We start from the raw sequence: 14,428 nt of genomic DNA, 5'->3' as shown, positions 1-14,428 counted from the left end.
GTTTTAGACTTCATCACATTAAATTATGAAGATCCCAATTATATTTGATGAATATGTGTTAATTCAGCACTACCAGTAAAAATATTTCTTGTCAAAAATTTTAGTTACCAGAAAAATAATAACTCCTGGCTGGGCGTGGTGGCTCACGCCTGTAATCCCAAGCACTTTGGGAGACCGAGGCGGGCGGATCACGAGGTCAGGAGTTCGAGACCAGCCTGACCAACATACTGAAACCCCGTCTCTACTAAAAACAAAAAAAATTTAGCCGGGTGTGGTGGCACGCACCTGTAATCCCAGCGACTCAGAAAGCTGGGGCAGGAGAATCGCTTGAACCCGGAAGGTGGAGGGTTGCAGTGAGCAGAGATCGAGCCACTGCACTCCAGCCTGGGCTACAGAGGGAGACCCCGTCTCAATAATAATAATAATAATAATAATAATAACTCCTACTACTTATTGTTTAGGAAGCAAAATTGTTCTGAAAGGCAATTTTAAAATGTTGGCTTAAATAATTTATTTCCTCTTTCTTACTGTAGATCTTAATTTACACTTTTTTATATATTTATAAGTTGATAATTTGCCAAAGGAGAAAGTCGATACATTTTTGCTGACATTGTTTTAGATTCCTTTGCACTAGTAAGGAAAAATTGTTGGTTCTCTTTATTTACTCAAATTTTCATCCCCAAGAGTCATTTTTTTAAATACTTAGTGGACCGTATTGATTTTTCCAGCTATATATGAACTTGTTCTGAGAATTTCTAGAAATCAAATTCAAGTCAACAAACATAAATACATTCATTTAAAATCTGTTTATAAACATTTTATATGTGATTATAAAGGTATTCTTGAAAAGTTTACATGGAATCATTCTGTCATTCTAAGATTGTAAGTTGCAGAATTACATGGTATCATAGTTCGTTATTAGTTTCTAGAAGATAGTCTTCACTTATAAAATTTAACGCAAAAAAAAGAAAGAAGGAAATCCAAAACGAAAAAGAAAAATATAGGATTAAAGAGTTTCACTTACATAGCTCTTAATCATACCTCTAAATAAAAGGGCTCTGCGTGTATGTGTTTGTGTGTGTGTGTACGGGTGCATGCACATAGAATCTGTAGATACCATTATTTAACATCCATGAACACTTTCCCTACTAGAGAGACTATGAGCATATGGACATTTTTTCTTGTATTCTTCTTTCTTCATTTCTTCTTACATTGTGCCTTATATCTTATAGTGGATGATAATGATGATGATGTAATTCATATAGATACTTTTCTTCCTGTTTGTTTTTTTATAAACATGACATTATTCTGACTGCTATTGTCTCTCACTGTCTAGCATCAGGAAAACACCAGCCACTACTTTTGAGACAAATATTGCTTACTGCTATGGGGAATTTTTAGTAAAGGGGTAGTTTAACATATATCACATTCTGGTCCTAGTCCATCAAGTATTACACATACCTTTGGCACATCTCTATTGATTTTGGGTACAGCTCTATAAAAGTCAAATAAAATAATATTTTCGTACCATTTGAGCTATTCCAATCTGAGCTCCTGGTCATAAACCAACATTTCTACTACATAAAACTGAAGTGGCCTTTCCCTAAATTACCTCATTTAGTTTTTAGTTTAAATAGTTGTAGCTCCATGGTCAACAGTTTAGATGTTAATAAATTAACTCGTATTGTATTTGATTCCCTTAGTGTTTCTCCTACATTTTAGAATACAATGAAGATTGAAGAAATCAATTTTGCATATCTGGTTTTAAACATATCGGTTTAAAAATATACTTTTTAAAAGTAAACTATTCAGGGTACTTGACAAAATTATTTAAAATCTGTTTACAAAAATATACACTGTTTGTACATCAAGGTGTTACTGCATAGCTCAAGAGCAAAAATCATAATTATTCATAAATCTGTATTTTATGAGAATTATATTTATGATGACATGTATCTTTGTAAAATTAATTATTAATAATTTTTTCTTGCCTCTAGACATTATTCTCAGCATTTTTCCTTCAAATGATGCCTATGATTTTTCATAGGTTTTATTACTAAACTGAAAATACCTTTCAATTATCAAAATTGTTTTGGAATTAAGAATCTATAGCCTATCATTCCTAGAATGAAATATTAAACAAGGTTATTGCACTGCATACTTTCCCTAAAGGATGATGATGTTAAAGTATATTTATCTTTTTTTTTTTAAGTAATAAATTAACTCTTCATATTCTTGGTCAGTTGACTGAAGACTGAAAGCTTGTATGGGAGCATCTGAAAGGACACTTGACCCTTGAACAACATGGGTTTGAACTGTGTAGGTCCACTTACAGGCAATTTTTTAAAAACTAAACAAGGATCAAAATTGCAGTGTTTGCAGGTTGCTAAATTTGCATATATAGAGGACAAACTTCTCAAATAAGTGAGTTCCACAAGACCAACTGCTGGACTTGGATATGCATGGATTTGGGGATATGCAGAGGTCCAGGAACCAATCCCCTGGCAAATACCGAGGGACAACTGCATATCTATACATTTAAAAATGGTGACATCAAAAATCAATTACTTGAAAATTACTAGGAGAGTAGATTTTAAGTTCTCAACACAACTGCTAAATATGTGAGGTAATGCTTATGTTAATTTGCTCAATTTTGCCATTCCACAATGTATACACATTTCAAAACATTTGTATGGAGTAAATTTTGGTCAATTAAAAAATTAGAAATCAATTGGTATTGATATTGTTCTGTTTCTTGGGCTGGGTGATGGATACATTGCTATATTTAATTTTGTTAATTCAGTGAGCTGTGTAATTACAATTTGATCACTTGTGTTTACTTGAATAACTTTTTAAATCAACTACTGTCATGTCCAATGTAAATTGTTTCTTCTAAGCTTTCCTTTACCAATCAAATTCCACTGCCAACTAAACTTTACTGAAGTGCGTACAGACTCCAGGAATATAATGAAAATGAAGTGAGCTGGGTGTACCATATACTAGGGTGTTGCGGCCTCTGATGAACTGAGAAAGATGGGTCTAATTTAAAGGGTACAGATCCTACACAGCTCCTAGGAATGGTTGCCATATGGGCTGTGGGTTGAGTGTTACCAGGTCTGCAAATCTTACTTTTATGTCAAATTTACACTTTTTTAATGTTGGCAACTAATTGAATTTTTTAAACACTGAAGGCCAAACTAAATATGTCTTTAACTAAAGAGCCCTCCCTCCATAAAGATCACCTCCCTAGTAGGGCCTCACTAAATCTGAGTCCAATTAAAATACTTTCATTTGTACTGCTGATACTGCCAGCAATTAGGGAAGCCTGCATTCAAAATTAAGTCTGATTCCCCAACCTGTGCCATTTCTTTTTTTTCTTTTTTTCTTTTTTTTTTTTTGAGATAGAGACTCACTCTGTCACCAGGCTGGAGTGCAGTGGCGTAATCTCAGCTCACTGCAACCTCTACCTCCTGGGTTCAAGCGATTCTCCTGCCTCAGCTTCCCCAGTAGCTGGGACTACAGGCGCGTACCACCATGCCTAACTAATTTCTGTATTTTTAGTAGAGACGGGGTTTCATGTTGGCCAGGATGGTCTCGATCTCTTGATCTCGTGATCCGCCCACCTCGGCCTCCCAAAGTGCTGAGATTACAGGCATGAGCCACCGTGCCAGGTCTCCATTTCTACTTTAATAAACTTCCTAAAAATATGATCACAGCTTTATGTAATTTGAATCCTAAACTAATCCCATAACAAAGGTATTATCCCGATTCACTGACGAGGAATCTAGGCCAGAAGATAACAGATAACTTAATGGAACAGTTTGACCTGAGTTGAATGGCTTGAGTTCAAACCCCTCGCTCCAACAATTGCCATTTTAATAATTTCAGGAGGGTAAATTCTCTATATTTCTGTATTTTTCCAATAAAATGGGTACACTAATAACACATCACAAAATTGTTGTGAGTACTTACAAAGCACTTAAAAACGTGTCTGGCAAACATTAATAGTAAGTACTATGTAAGTGTTGCTATTACTAATTATTCCTATTATTAATTTCAGTGAAATGAAAATTAGAACAATAACTACCTCTTTGGGTTTTGTATTAAATGAACTAATCTATTGAAAATGTTTATAACTGTTCCTGAGACATAGTTAATATTCAATATGTGTTAATTATATGTCTAATTTCATTGTCTTTCAAATACATTATATCTAAACCATGCGGGTTAATTCCTTCACTTATGCCTGGTAATAACAAATACAGGTACTACCATAGGCTGGAATTACTTTCATTTGTACTAAGCGTTTGAAAAGTTTATAGCTTTGTAGTCTCAAGATTATGGAAATATTTGTATCATTTACAAATCTGTAGTGAAATCAATCATGCACTATGTAATGACTGTCTTGATAGGGATTTTAATAATGTAATAAGATTTTATTCAAAGAAGCAGGAATAGTTGCAACACTCAAAAGACATTCTTTAAATGTAGTCAGTCTTCACCCCTTCTTGTCTCCCTAGTTTTTCAAAAACTTGAAGCCCAAATTAAAAATCAGAAGATATCCAGGTAATTCAGTAACTCGAATTACAAAGTTATATGCTAACATATTTAACATAGCCATGATTTTTACTTACTTGTGACCCATTTCATGAGCAATTGTAAAAGCAAGATTCAAGCCATTGTCTTCAGCAATAATACATTTTCTCTTTTCACTACACATTCCACTCAAGTAAGCTATACCTAAAAAATACAAACATTAATTATTATATGTCTGAATGAATATGCAAATATTTATACTAGTTATTAGCAGCAGGAATGAAAATGGCAGTTGTCACGACTAAAATGTCAGTATTAATCTGTGAAATCTAGCCCTAATAAATGAAATTTTAGGGGCAAGTGTATATGTATAGGCCAGGCAAAAAAATGTTCATATCATTTTCATTTTCATATTTTAGATAAAATTATTTTACCAATTATCAAGTTCCCAAAAGGAATAATATAAGAATATAGGTTATAAATACCAATTTCATCATCATGTAAGACAAATGAATAGTTATAACTTGGAAAATATAATCAAACAGCAATGATTATTTTAAATATACTCAATTATTGTGAAGAACACAGTTTCAAAAAAATTAATGCAAAATAAACTACATATAAAGCAGTCTTGAACTTACATTTATATTTTGAATTAATACAATTGTGAAATTCTATTTATGAAATACTATGTTAACTAATATGGCATAGAGCTATCTATCATATTTAAAATACTAGAAAGATTTTATTTGAAAATTTCTTGGCTAAATGGTGTGTTGCATAGTATATGATACTGAAATATTAAGATAAAATTTTAGCAAGATATTTGATCTTTTGGTATAAATTATCAGTAAAAATGGCAATATTTAAACTCCTTGATATTCTTTAGTTAAATATTTATGTTCTATTTTACTAATGAAGACATATACTTGAATAATCATTTCAGAAAATGAATTGTTACCAAGTGTAAGTTATAATGTTATTTTCAAATAACAAGTTATCATAATATCAATTATTTTTGATCCACTATATGTTCTCTATTTCCCATATCCTCATAAAATAAATTTTAAACTCCTTTTATAGATTAAGATATTTAGGCGTAGGAGGTTCTGATTTACCAAAGATCACATAATTACTAAACATGATGGAATGGGGACTTAATTTCACCTTTGAATCCATCTGCTGGATATTTTGTTTCTAAAAAAAATTTAATGCAGAGCTTACCCTAATTAAAGATGGTCAACTGACTGCTTGTGACTTTTTTCTGTCTCCAGAAACAAAACATAATGGTAAGAAATAATTTAAATAAATTATTTTAATAAAATTTTAAAAGAATCACCTTGCCCATGTGTGGCAAAGTTAGAAGATTCAGGGAAGTATAGGAACAGATTTAGTGAAAGCTACAGCCTAAATGACAAGAGGAAGATTTTTGATGAGAAGAGAACTTCTGAATTGGGTGGAACTCCAGAAAGTCTCAAGACTGAGGCACACATGGTCTAGGGAAAAGCAATGCAGGAGGGTTGAAAATGGAGATTAGCTGAAAGTATATCTGAAGTTCTCAACAACTCATTTAAACCTTCACGCAGAATGTCAAGGCCTGGTATCCACAGGCCTATCAGGAAAGTAGAGATGTAATCTTTAAGCAAAAGGTAGAATGAACATATTATTTTTAGAAACATAACTACATGAAGAAACAGCAAAAAGACGAAATACACATATGGATGTAGTTTTTTTTATATCTTTACAAATTAAAATAGATTTTATAGAAATTTATCATCTACAAACAGATGAAATGACTTCTTAATGAATGGGTGGTTAGGTGGACGGATGGATGAATAGACAGATGATAAGCCCAGTTACTTCATTTGGCTTATTAAGGTAACTGAAATTACTTCAAGGTTAAATTAAGACAAAGTAGGACAGAAAGATGAAGGTAAGGATACACAGAGAGGGATTGGGGAAGGGAGAAGAGGAGGGGAGAAGGAGAAAATCATATTTTTATTATAGTTCTATTAAACAACAGATGAAATAAAAACTTTAAAATTTGATTTAAACATAAAAGATAACATGAATTTTAAGAGAGCTAAATCACATGAATACAACAAAGAGTGGAAAACGAAGATTTTGAGATAATTAATTTTGCATTATAATCAAATGGAAGAAGGCAGGAAGAAAGAAAAGAAAGAAGGAGGATAAAAGAAAATATCTCCTCTAAATAGGGTATTAAAAGTTACAGCATTTGAAAATAAAATAATAATTTGAGATTAAACGTCCCCCCAAAATACTAAATTAAGCTCACTGTAATTAGCATGCTGCTACCATTGATTGGTACAAATTTTCTCTTAAGATTCCCATATATTTTGCCACTTTTTTTCACCACAGCTAGAACAGTCCCACCACCCTGTTCAGATTTAAAACTCAGCTAACATGGGTTATCATATGTCATATACCTGTTTGTCACATGGACTAGGACATATAAACTTCAGTCACTTTAATGAGTTTTACATGTCTTCTCCAGTATCCATTCTAATATTATACTTTCCCCACATAAAAATAGTACTGCCACTTGTTTCTAATTCTTATTTCTTCTAATTTGCATTGGCTAGGATTTCCAACATACTATTGAAATATATGGGCAATACTGAGCTCCTTATTTTTCCTTCTGAGTTTAACAGGAATGTTTACAGTTTCACAGTTGCATATGATGTTTGCTGAAGGTATTCATAGAATACCTTACTAACTTAGGGAAATAACTTTCTGATATCAATGCATGTCTGAGTGAAGAAGGAGGCAACATTATTTGATATATAGGTCAAAGGTGAATGGAAGTTTATTAGTAATATTTGGAAAAGGATTCAAAGATTAGAACAGCCACTGAGGGAAATATGGAAGAGCTGAATAAGTACTACAGGAGTGCTTAATGTAATGAGTCAGAAAATATGTTGCTTCAGCTGAGGATGGAGTGCATGAGTTTGGAGAGCACTAACATAGTACTCAGTTGAGTGATATTCATCCTAGTGGCTGAAACAAAGATGAGTAAATTTAGATTCAATTTAGGTTGACGTTTTGCAGATCATGTGTGGAGAAAGACCAAAGGTATAAAAGCTGTCAGTGAAGTTGAAAGTGAAAGAAGGCATAACACTTACAGGGATCTATGGGGAATGAGTAAAAGAGTAAGGTTAGAGGGAGCCCGATAATTTGGAGAAAAGAATACAGTAGTAAAGAGAATGGAATCATCAGTGATGAAAAAGAGCAGACATTTTACAAAAAAAAGGAACTTTATCAGGGAGTGAGATTTAGGTATTTAAGATTTCAGAGAGAAAGTTCTGAGACATGACTAGGTATTGTCACAAGAGTAAAGAAGGGTGCAGGTAGAGGTCATCTAGATTGAGGTCAAATCATTATTAAATAGTGTTGGGTGAACTAATAATATAAACGTGAAATTGCACATGACCAGAAAGAACTTGGGACAGTGGTAGGTGGCCAACATCCATAAGAAATGTGGGTGAGAATCAAGATCAATCACAGCTTTAAGATGCTAAGGCTCAAAAACTTCAGGATCAGAGAGATTTGGGTTTAGAAGCACCAGTGGGGAACAGGAGGAATGTGACAAGTATACAACTTTTGTTTCTTTCTTGTTCCAGCCCTATGATACAGGGGCCTCTCTTGGAATTCTGGATTATGGAAACCCATAAACACCAGTTATAGGAAATCAATGACTATCATGTGGTCATGTAAAAAAATACGATGATAAAGCCAATAGTTTATAATATAATAGCATGTTTATGCAATAAAATGTAAATGTATATAAAATATAAAATATTCAAAAACGATGAGTGCATACTTACATAGAGGTATGATTGCAACTATGTATCAAAAATATCATACCATCATATATTCATATGAACAAAAAGATACAGTTTTATCATGAGAAAATTAAAGTCTTATAAACATGATAATCATGTCTATGAAATTTGAATGGTAATTAGTAGAACTTCTTATAGACTAGGGTGAGGTCTGTAAGACAAAGAATGACCCAAAAGAACCCTTAAAGTGACCATCTATTCCTATTCTTATTTTGCTCAAGTGTAAAGTCAGAATCTTCAACTGAGACTCTGATAAATTTAAATTTCATTGTTCTTAGATTTGGAACACCAAGGAATTTTTTATTTGATTTGAAAGTTATAGAGAATGACTGTAACCACGACTAATGTAAATGATTTGAATTATTCTGTTTAAAAGCCTAGCTTTTCAGTTCAATAACCCACGTGTGTTATTATAATAAGAGATGAGTTTAAAAGGGAAAGGAATTAACACAGATGTTATTTAAAGATAGATGCAATAGAGGCCCTTTTCAAAGCACTTTTTTTTTTTTTTTTTTTTTTGAAACGGAGACCCACTCTGTCGCCCAGGCTGAGTGCAGTGGCATGATCTCGGCTCACTGCAACCTCCGCCTCCCGGTTTCAGCGAGTCTTCTGCCTCAGCCTCCCAAGTAGCTGGGATTACAGGCACCTGCCACCATACCCGGCTAATTTGTTTGTATTTTAAGTAGAGATGGGGTTTCACCATGTTGGCCAGGCTGGTTTCAAGCTTCTGACCTCAAGTGATCCATCCACCTCAGATTCCCAAAGTGCTGGGATTACAAACGTGAGCCACTGCACCCAGCTCAATTTTTTTTAATACAAAAAGTTCTGGAAATAAAAAGCAAACAAAAACAGCCTTCTCATTTCTCAACTAAAAATGAGTCATGTACAAGAAGTCAATTGAATCTCTCATCAGAAAACAAAACACAAGCCAGATGTTATGTGACACACCTCATAAGATGATCACAGACTCCTAAAACCCTCCAGGATGCCTTTTCCAATAATGGAACTAATGAAGAAATCAGAGTTTTTATGTGATCAGATGGATGCATTCTAACAAAAGTTAAGTCTCTGGGCTCCAGAAGTGCTGTTTTTAAGCATTATCTAAGCTACCTGAGTTCAAAATCCAGGCACTCTTGGTACAAACTCCTGGCGAAGTTCCAGTTAATTACTGGTCCTATGACTGTAATCTGTGAGTCTTACTATGAGTCTTACTATTATTTGAAGCATAACAGAAGAAAAATCATAATACATGACAAGCAGTGAAGGTGCAAAAATGCTGAGTATGACTTTGGGAGTGTGACTTTGGCTGGGTATGGTTGCTTATGCCTGTAATCCTAGCACTTTGGGAGGCTGAGGCAGATGGATCACCTGAGGTCAGGAGTTCGAGACCACCCTGGCCAACATGGTGAAACTCCATCTCTACTAAAAATACAAAAATTAACCAGGCGTGGTGGTGCATGCCTGTAGTTCCAGCTACTCGGGAGGCTGAGGCAGGAGAATTGCTTGAACCTGGGATGCAGAGGTTGCAGTGAGCCGAGATTGTGCCACTGCACTTCAGCCTGGGCAATAGAGCAAGACTCCATCTCAGAAAAAAAAAAAAAAGTGTAATTTTAAAATGCTCATTTTAAAATCTGTTCATTAACACATAAAGATGTACATAAGATATTATGGGAGAATATAAAAGGGAAATAAGGTAGAGAAAAATGTAAGCAGGAAAGGCTTTGAGAGAGGGCAACAACTTGGTGATACCATTGAATGGGCAGGGGTTAGCCAGGGAAAGGCAATGGGAGTTGGAGGGAGTCCCTGAACAAAGGACTAAACAGGGTAAAAGGGCAAGCGATGCTTATGAAAGTTAATGTCTCTCACAGAGGTGGTGGCCTAGGGTGCCAACCATGTAGCACATCTCCGCATCAACACTGTATTTAGGATTTCCTCAGTAAAGGGTGTGTTAAAGGAACTGCACAGGTGAAATTGTCTGAAACAAAGATTAACATGTAATGTGATCCAGTGCAATCCAACAAAAATGTAATTGTGAAGAACCAAAATTCATTTTATCTACTAATGAGAAAAAAATATGGAATGATATAAGAATGGTACCCAGATAATATGAAACCCATTTACATGATTAAATTCAAATTGGGCTTTGAACATATTTTTCAATAATAAGTTGTCTCACTAGTTGACTAATAATCTGCCTGTTTCATTAAAAGACAAGAAGGTGATCTAGGAATGTAAAAATACTCTTACGGAAGTTACAAGTTTGGTGTCAGCGCAGTTAATTTCTATTTTTAAAAAAATATTTTTAAAAAAGCCTTCTAGATTTTCTTAAATGTTTAAGTAATTTACAACACTCTTAACGTGCAGTTTTTATGAATACTAAGAAAAAACTGATCTAGAAAGAGAAAGGAGTGAGTGTAATAAAAGTTATAATAAATCTCTGATCAAATAAGATAGAATATTGTATGGATATTAAAGTGTTGTTTATGCATTCTAGCTTCATGGTAGACTGAATCCCCTTTCGCTAAAAACACGTAGAAATCACAAATCATAGGTAAAATACATTTTTTTGAATGTATAGCTGAGGTTGAAGAAGAAAAGATAATTCCCAGGTGCAAAATTAAAGTTTAAAAAAATTCAAATCTGGAGAGATAAAATCATGAATTGATGCTGCCACTGCCTGAGTATCAGATAAGATATATAACTGATTAAATAAATGTGTGGTTTCAAAATGTCTGTGAGTACAGGTACTGGTGAGTAGGGGATGGAGATTCATGCATAAATCAAAAAGCCTGAAAATGCTGTTGTTAACTACCATCAAGCATATTTGAAAATAACTTTAAGAATCTGTCAGTGCAGGGAAGTATCAAGAAAACTTGGCTTAAAAAAAATCTGAGAATGCTAGAAATCAAAACCCGAAGCTACCGTGAGCACATGAACATCAGTATGAAGCTTAAGAAATACTAAGCCATATATGTAACATAAAAGATCTCCTATTATGTGGAGATCTTTGCTAGTCCTGTGATAACAAATGAAATATGACTATGATAAGACACTTTATCACCTCAGCAAGCATGAAGTTCTCAAAGGGGAAACATGTTCCACTGAATATGAGCTCACAAATCATAATTACAAACCAAGTAAAGAAATGTTTCCCTGTGAAGAGACAGACCACAGATATAAAACTAGAGAAAAATGATGATGAAATAAATACTTTTTTAACATAAAGAGAGAGAGTTTGAAGTTCACATTTACTGGGCCACCACAATCCAAATATATCTTTTTGTAAGTTAGAGAAAGAAACCACTTCATAATAATACTTCATATACAATTATTGGTGTAATAAACAGTTTTTTGAGAATAAAAACTTTCACTGATCTGTGATAAAAGTTGTTCAAGTAAATACACAAATGTATGATGTATACAGTTGTAATGTACTTGTGTGTATACATATATATCCGTTATACATTTGGATAACATATATGTAATTATAATGTATAAATAACTACACAAATGTATAAATGAAAATTTATCTATTACAATAAGCATTAATCTGGAAAAGACCCTCAGTGAAGGAACTAGTAAAAAAAGTGCTACAAAAAAAAGGAAGCTGACCATAGAAACAAGGGGCAAATACAAGAAAACTGGCATGAAAATCTTCATAAACATTCTCAATTAAAAAAAAACAGTGATAGTAATAATAATGTCTAAGTTTTGAGGTATGTGAGATTTATGCAATGAAGGAAGTAATATAGTGAATTCAATAGCATAAAATTAGATAAAACATGAACAAATCTAAACTCTACTATTGTTCAGACTCAGGATAGAAATAACTAATTTTAGACTATGTTAATATAAGAATATGTACTTTTTAAAATGAGTACTGATATAAAGAACTATAATTAATAACTAGCAAAATAATAGGGGAAAAGAAAATTTAAAATAATCATTGCAATAGAAGTAAAAAAGAAAACAACTGGAGAGAAAATATCGGGTAAAATGAAAACAGAAATAAAGTAAAATATATTAGTAGTCAAATTAGGGTAAAAGGAACTTGCTTTAAAAACCTCTTGAATTGGGTTTAATAAAATTCCCATATATCTGGCCATAAATAACACATGTAAAGCTTAATAATTAATACAACAACAAAGAATCACCAAATAAAATAACCCCCAAAGAGCTGGCTCACAATATTAATATTTTACAAAATATACCTTGAGGTAAAAATATTATTATGCATAAAAGGAATAATTATATAATTATAAGAAGTATTTGATAGTATTTAATATATGTGTATGTTGCAATTTCATCTCAAACTAATGATAAAATATAGATAATTCTAAACTAGTATCAATAACTGATCTTTCAATAATTGATAGATTCAATAGATGAAAAGAAAGTAAAGATACAGAGAATCTAAATATTCCATCTAAAAAGTTTTATCTAATTTTCTCTCTCACACACACACAGACTTTAACAATTAGAAGATTCATATTATGTTCAAACATGTATCGAACTTTTTCTAAAGTTGCCAATGCCACCAAACAACACTTACTACCTATACAAAGAACAACGTCATAGAGGTAATATTCTCTGACTGCATTGCAATAAAATTAGAAATCAACAAGAAAATGGTTACCCTTCCAATTCCTCCCTCTCTTCTTCCTCCTAAAAAGTGGATATTTTGGAACAGAGTTTTAAATAATGTATGGATCAAAGAAGAGGAACTACAGTGGAAATAATAAATATTGTAGAAGTAAACGTATCCATTCATTACATAACAAAGCCAGTGGTACACAGTGTAGAGTAGTTCATAGTGTTCCAATATTCCTGTTGGGAACAACTATGAAGGCTGGATAAAACAGAAAATAATATTTGTAAAGGCATCAGTGAACTATAGAAACAAAAAAGACTAGAAGTTTTTAAATCCTAAAAATAGGAGAGAGTCTCAAAGGTGAGCAAAATCACTAAAGGCACTTTTTCCCTGTTAGTATTTGCTGATTTTTAGCAAGAACTAGAGACTGAGAAGCTGGACTTGATCCAGAAGAGTACAACTGCAGAAGAAACAACAACAACAACAACAAAAAACCTGGGGGTGGGAGGTGCCACCCAGCACTGGATTTTACTGTTCATAAAAGGCTGGAGATTTTGACAGTAGCACAAGCCGGAGTAACAAAACTGGAGAATTGAGAAGCCATAGAGTATTCTCCTTCAAGAAAATTGCCATATTCTAAAATTGGCATGGAATGGTATTTTAAATAGCAAAACCCCAAACCTCTGAAGAGCCGAACAGAATCTCCATGTGAACTTGTGACACAATACAGTCCCAAATTAGATCATTAGTTCCCATACTATCTGTCTAGACAAAGAAAGACTAAATCATTTCTCCTATATAATAATATCATCTGGAACCTCCATTGCTGCAGAGATTTCTAAAAATTAATCATTGATTCAAAAAATACCAGGCTTGCGTGAGCAGGTCAATTTGAACAAACCACGACAATAAACTGTCACCAAGGAGTGACCAAATATAGCAGTTAGCAGATGAGATTTAAAAAAAAAAAAGAACATCGAGTAAAAGTTAGACAAAATTGATAAAAGATGCAGAAACTCTCAAAGAATTGGGATTTATAAAAAAAATCAAACAGACATTCTTGATTTGAAAATTACAGTATTTGAGATTAGTAGATTATGATCTCTAGTAGTAGATTATAATCAGTAGATTATATAATTACATATATAATTAGTAGTTGATAATCAGTAAATTATTATCTCAATAGATAATGTAACTGCAAATTAAACATAGGAGGAGAGATAAATAGTTTCCTGGATTAATTTAAAATACCCAAATTCCAGCAACAGAGAAGAAAATAATTAGAAAATGTTTTAAAGAGGAACATAGTATACATGTGAGACACAATCACAGGTGTTGCATTCTTCTAATTTGAATCTTAGAGGAAACAGACAACAAAATATGACATTTTTATTTGAGAATTAATCATTAAATGTATTTCGAAAAAAATTGTAAG

At 33.0% G+C, this 14,428-nt stretch overlaps 1 protein-coding gene across 12 annotated transcripts in view; it reads right to left on the bottom strand.

Moving 5' to 3' along the window:
- The window catches only part of ADAMTS19 (ADAM metallopeptidase with thrombospondin type 1 motif 19), a 278,386-nt gene that overhangs the window by 137,385 nt on the left and 126,573 nt on the right, over positions 1 to 14,428 (bottom strand). For all 12 annotated transcript variants that reach the window (XR_007058587.1, XM_047416876.1, XM_047416878.1 and 9 more), the window contains one exon: positions 4,635 to 4,740. Coding sequence is in view for 11 of the 12 variants with exons in the window: in XM_047416876.1 (XP_047272832.1) it covers positions 4,635 to 4,740 (106 nt within the window). In the remaining variant the exon portion in view is untranslated. The remainder of the gene's footprint in view (positions 1 to 4,634; positions 4,741 to 14,428) is intronic.

This window comes from Homo sapiens, chromosome 5, assembly GCF_000001405.40.
Source record: "Homo sapiens chromosome 5, GRCh38.p14 Primary Assembly".
Classification (NCBI taxonomy): Eukaryota; Metazoa; Chordata; class Mammalia; order Primates; family Hominidae; genus Homo; species Homo sapiens.
The sequence above is the reverse complement of the archived record's forward strand: the minus strand, read 5'-3'. Positions and strand labels throughout refer to the sequence as shown.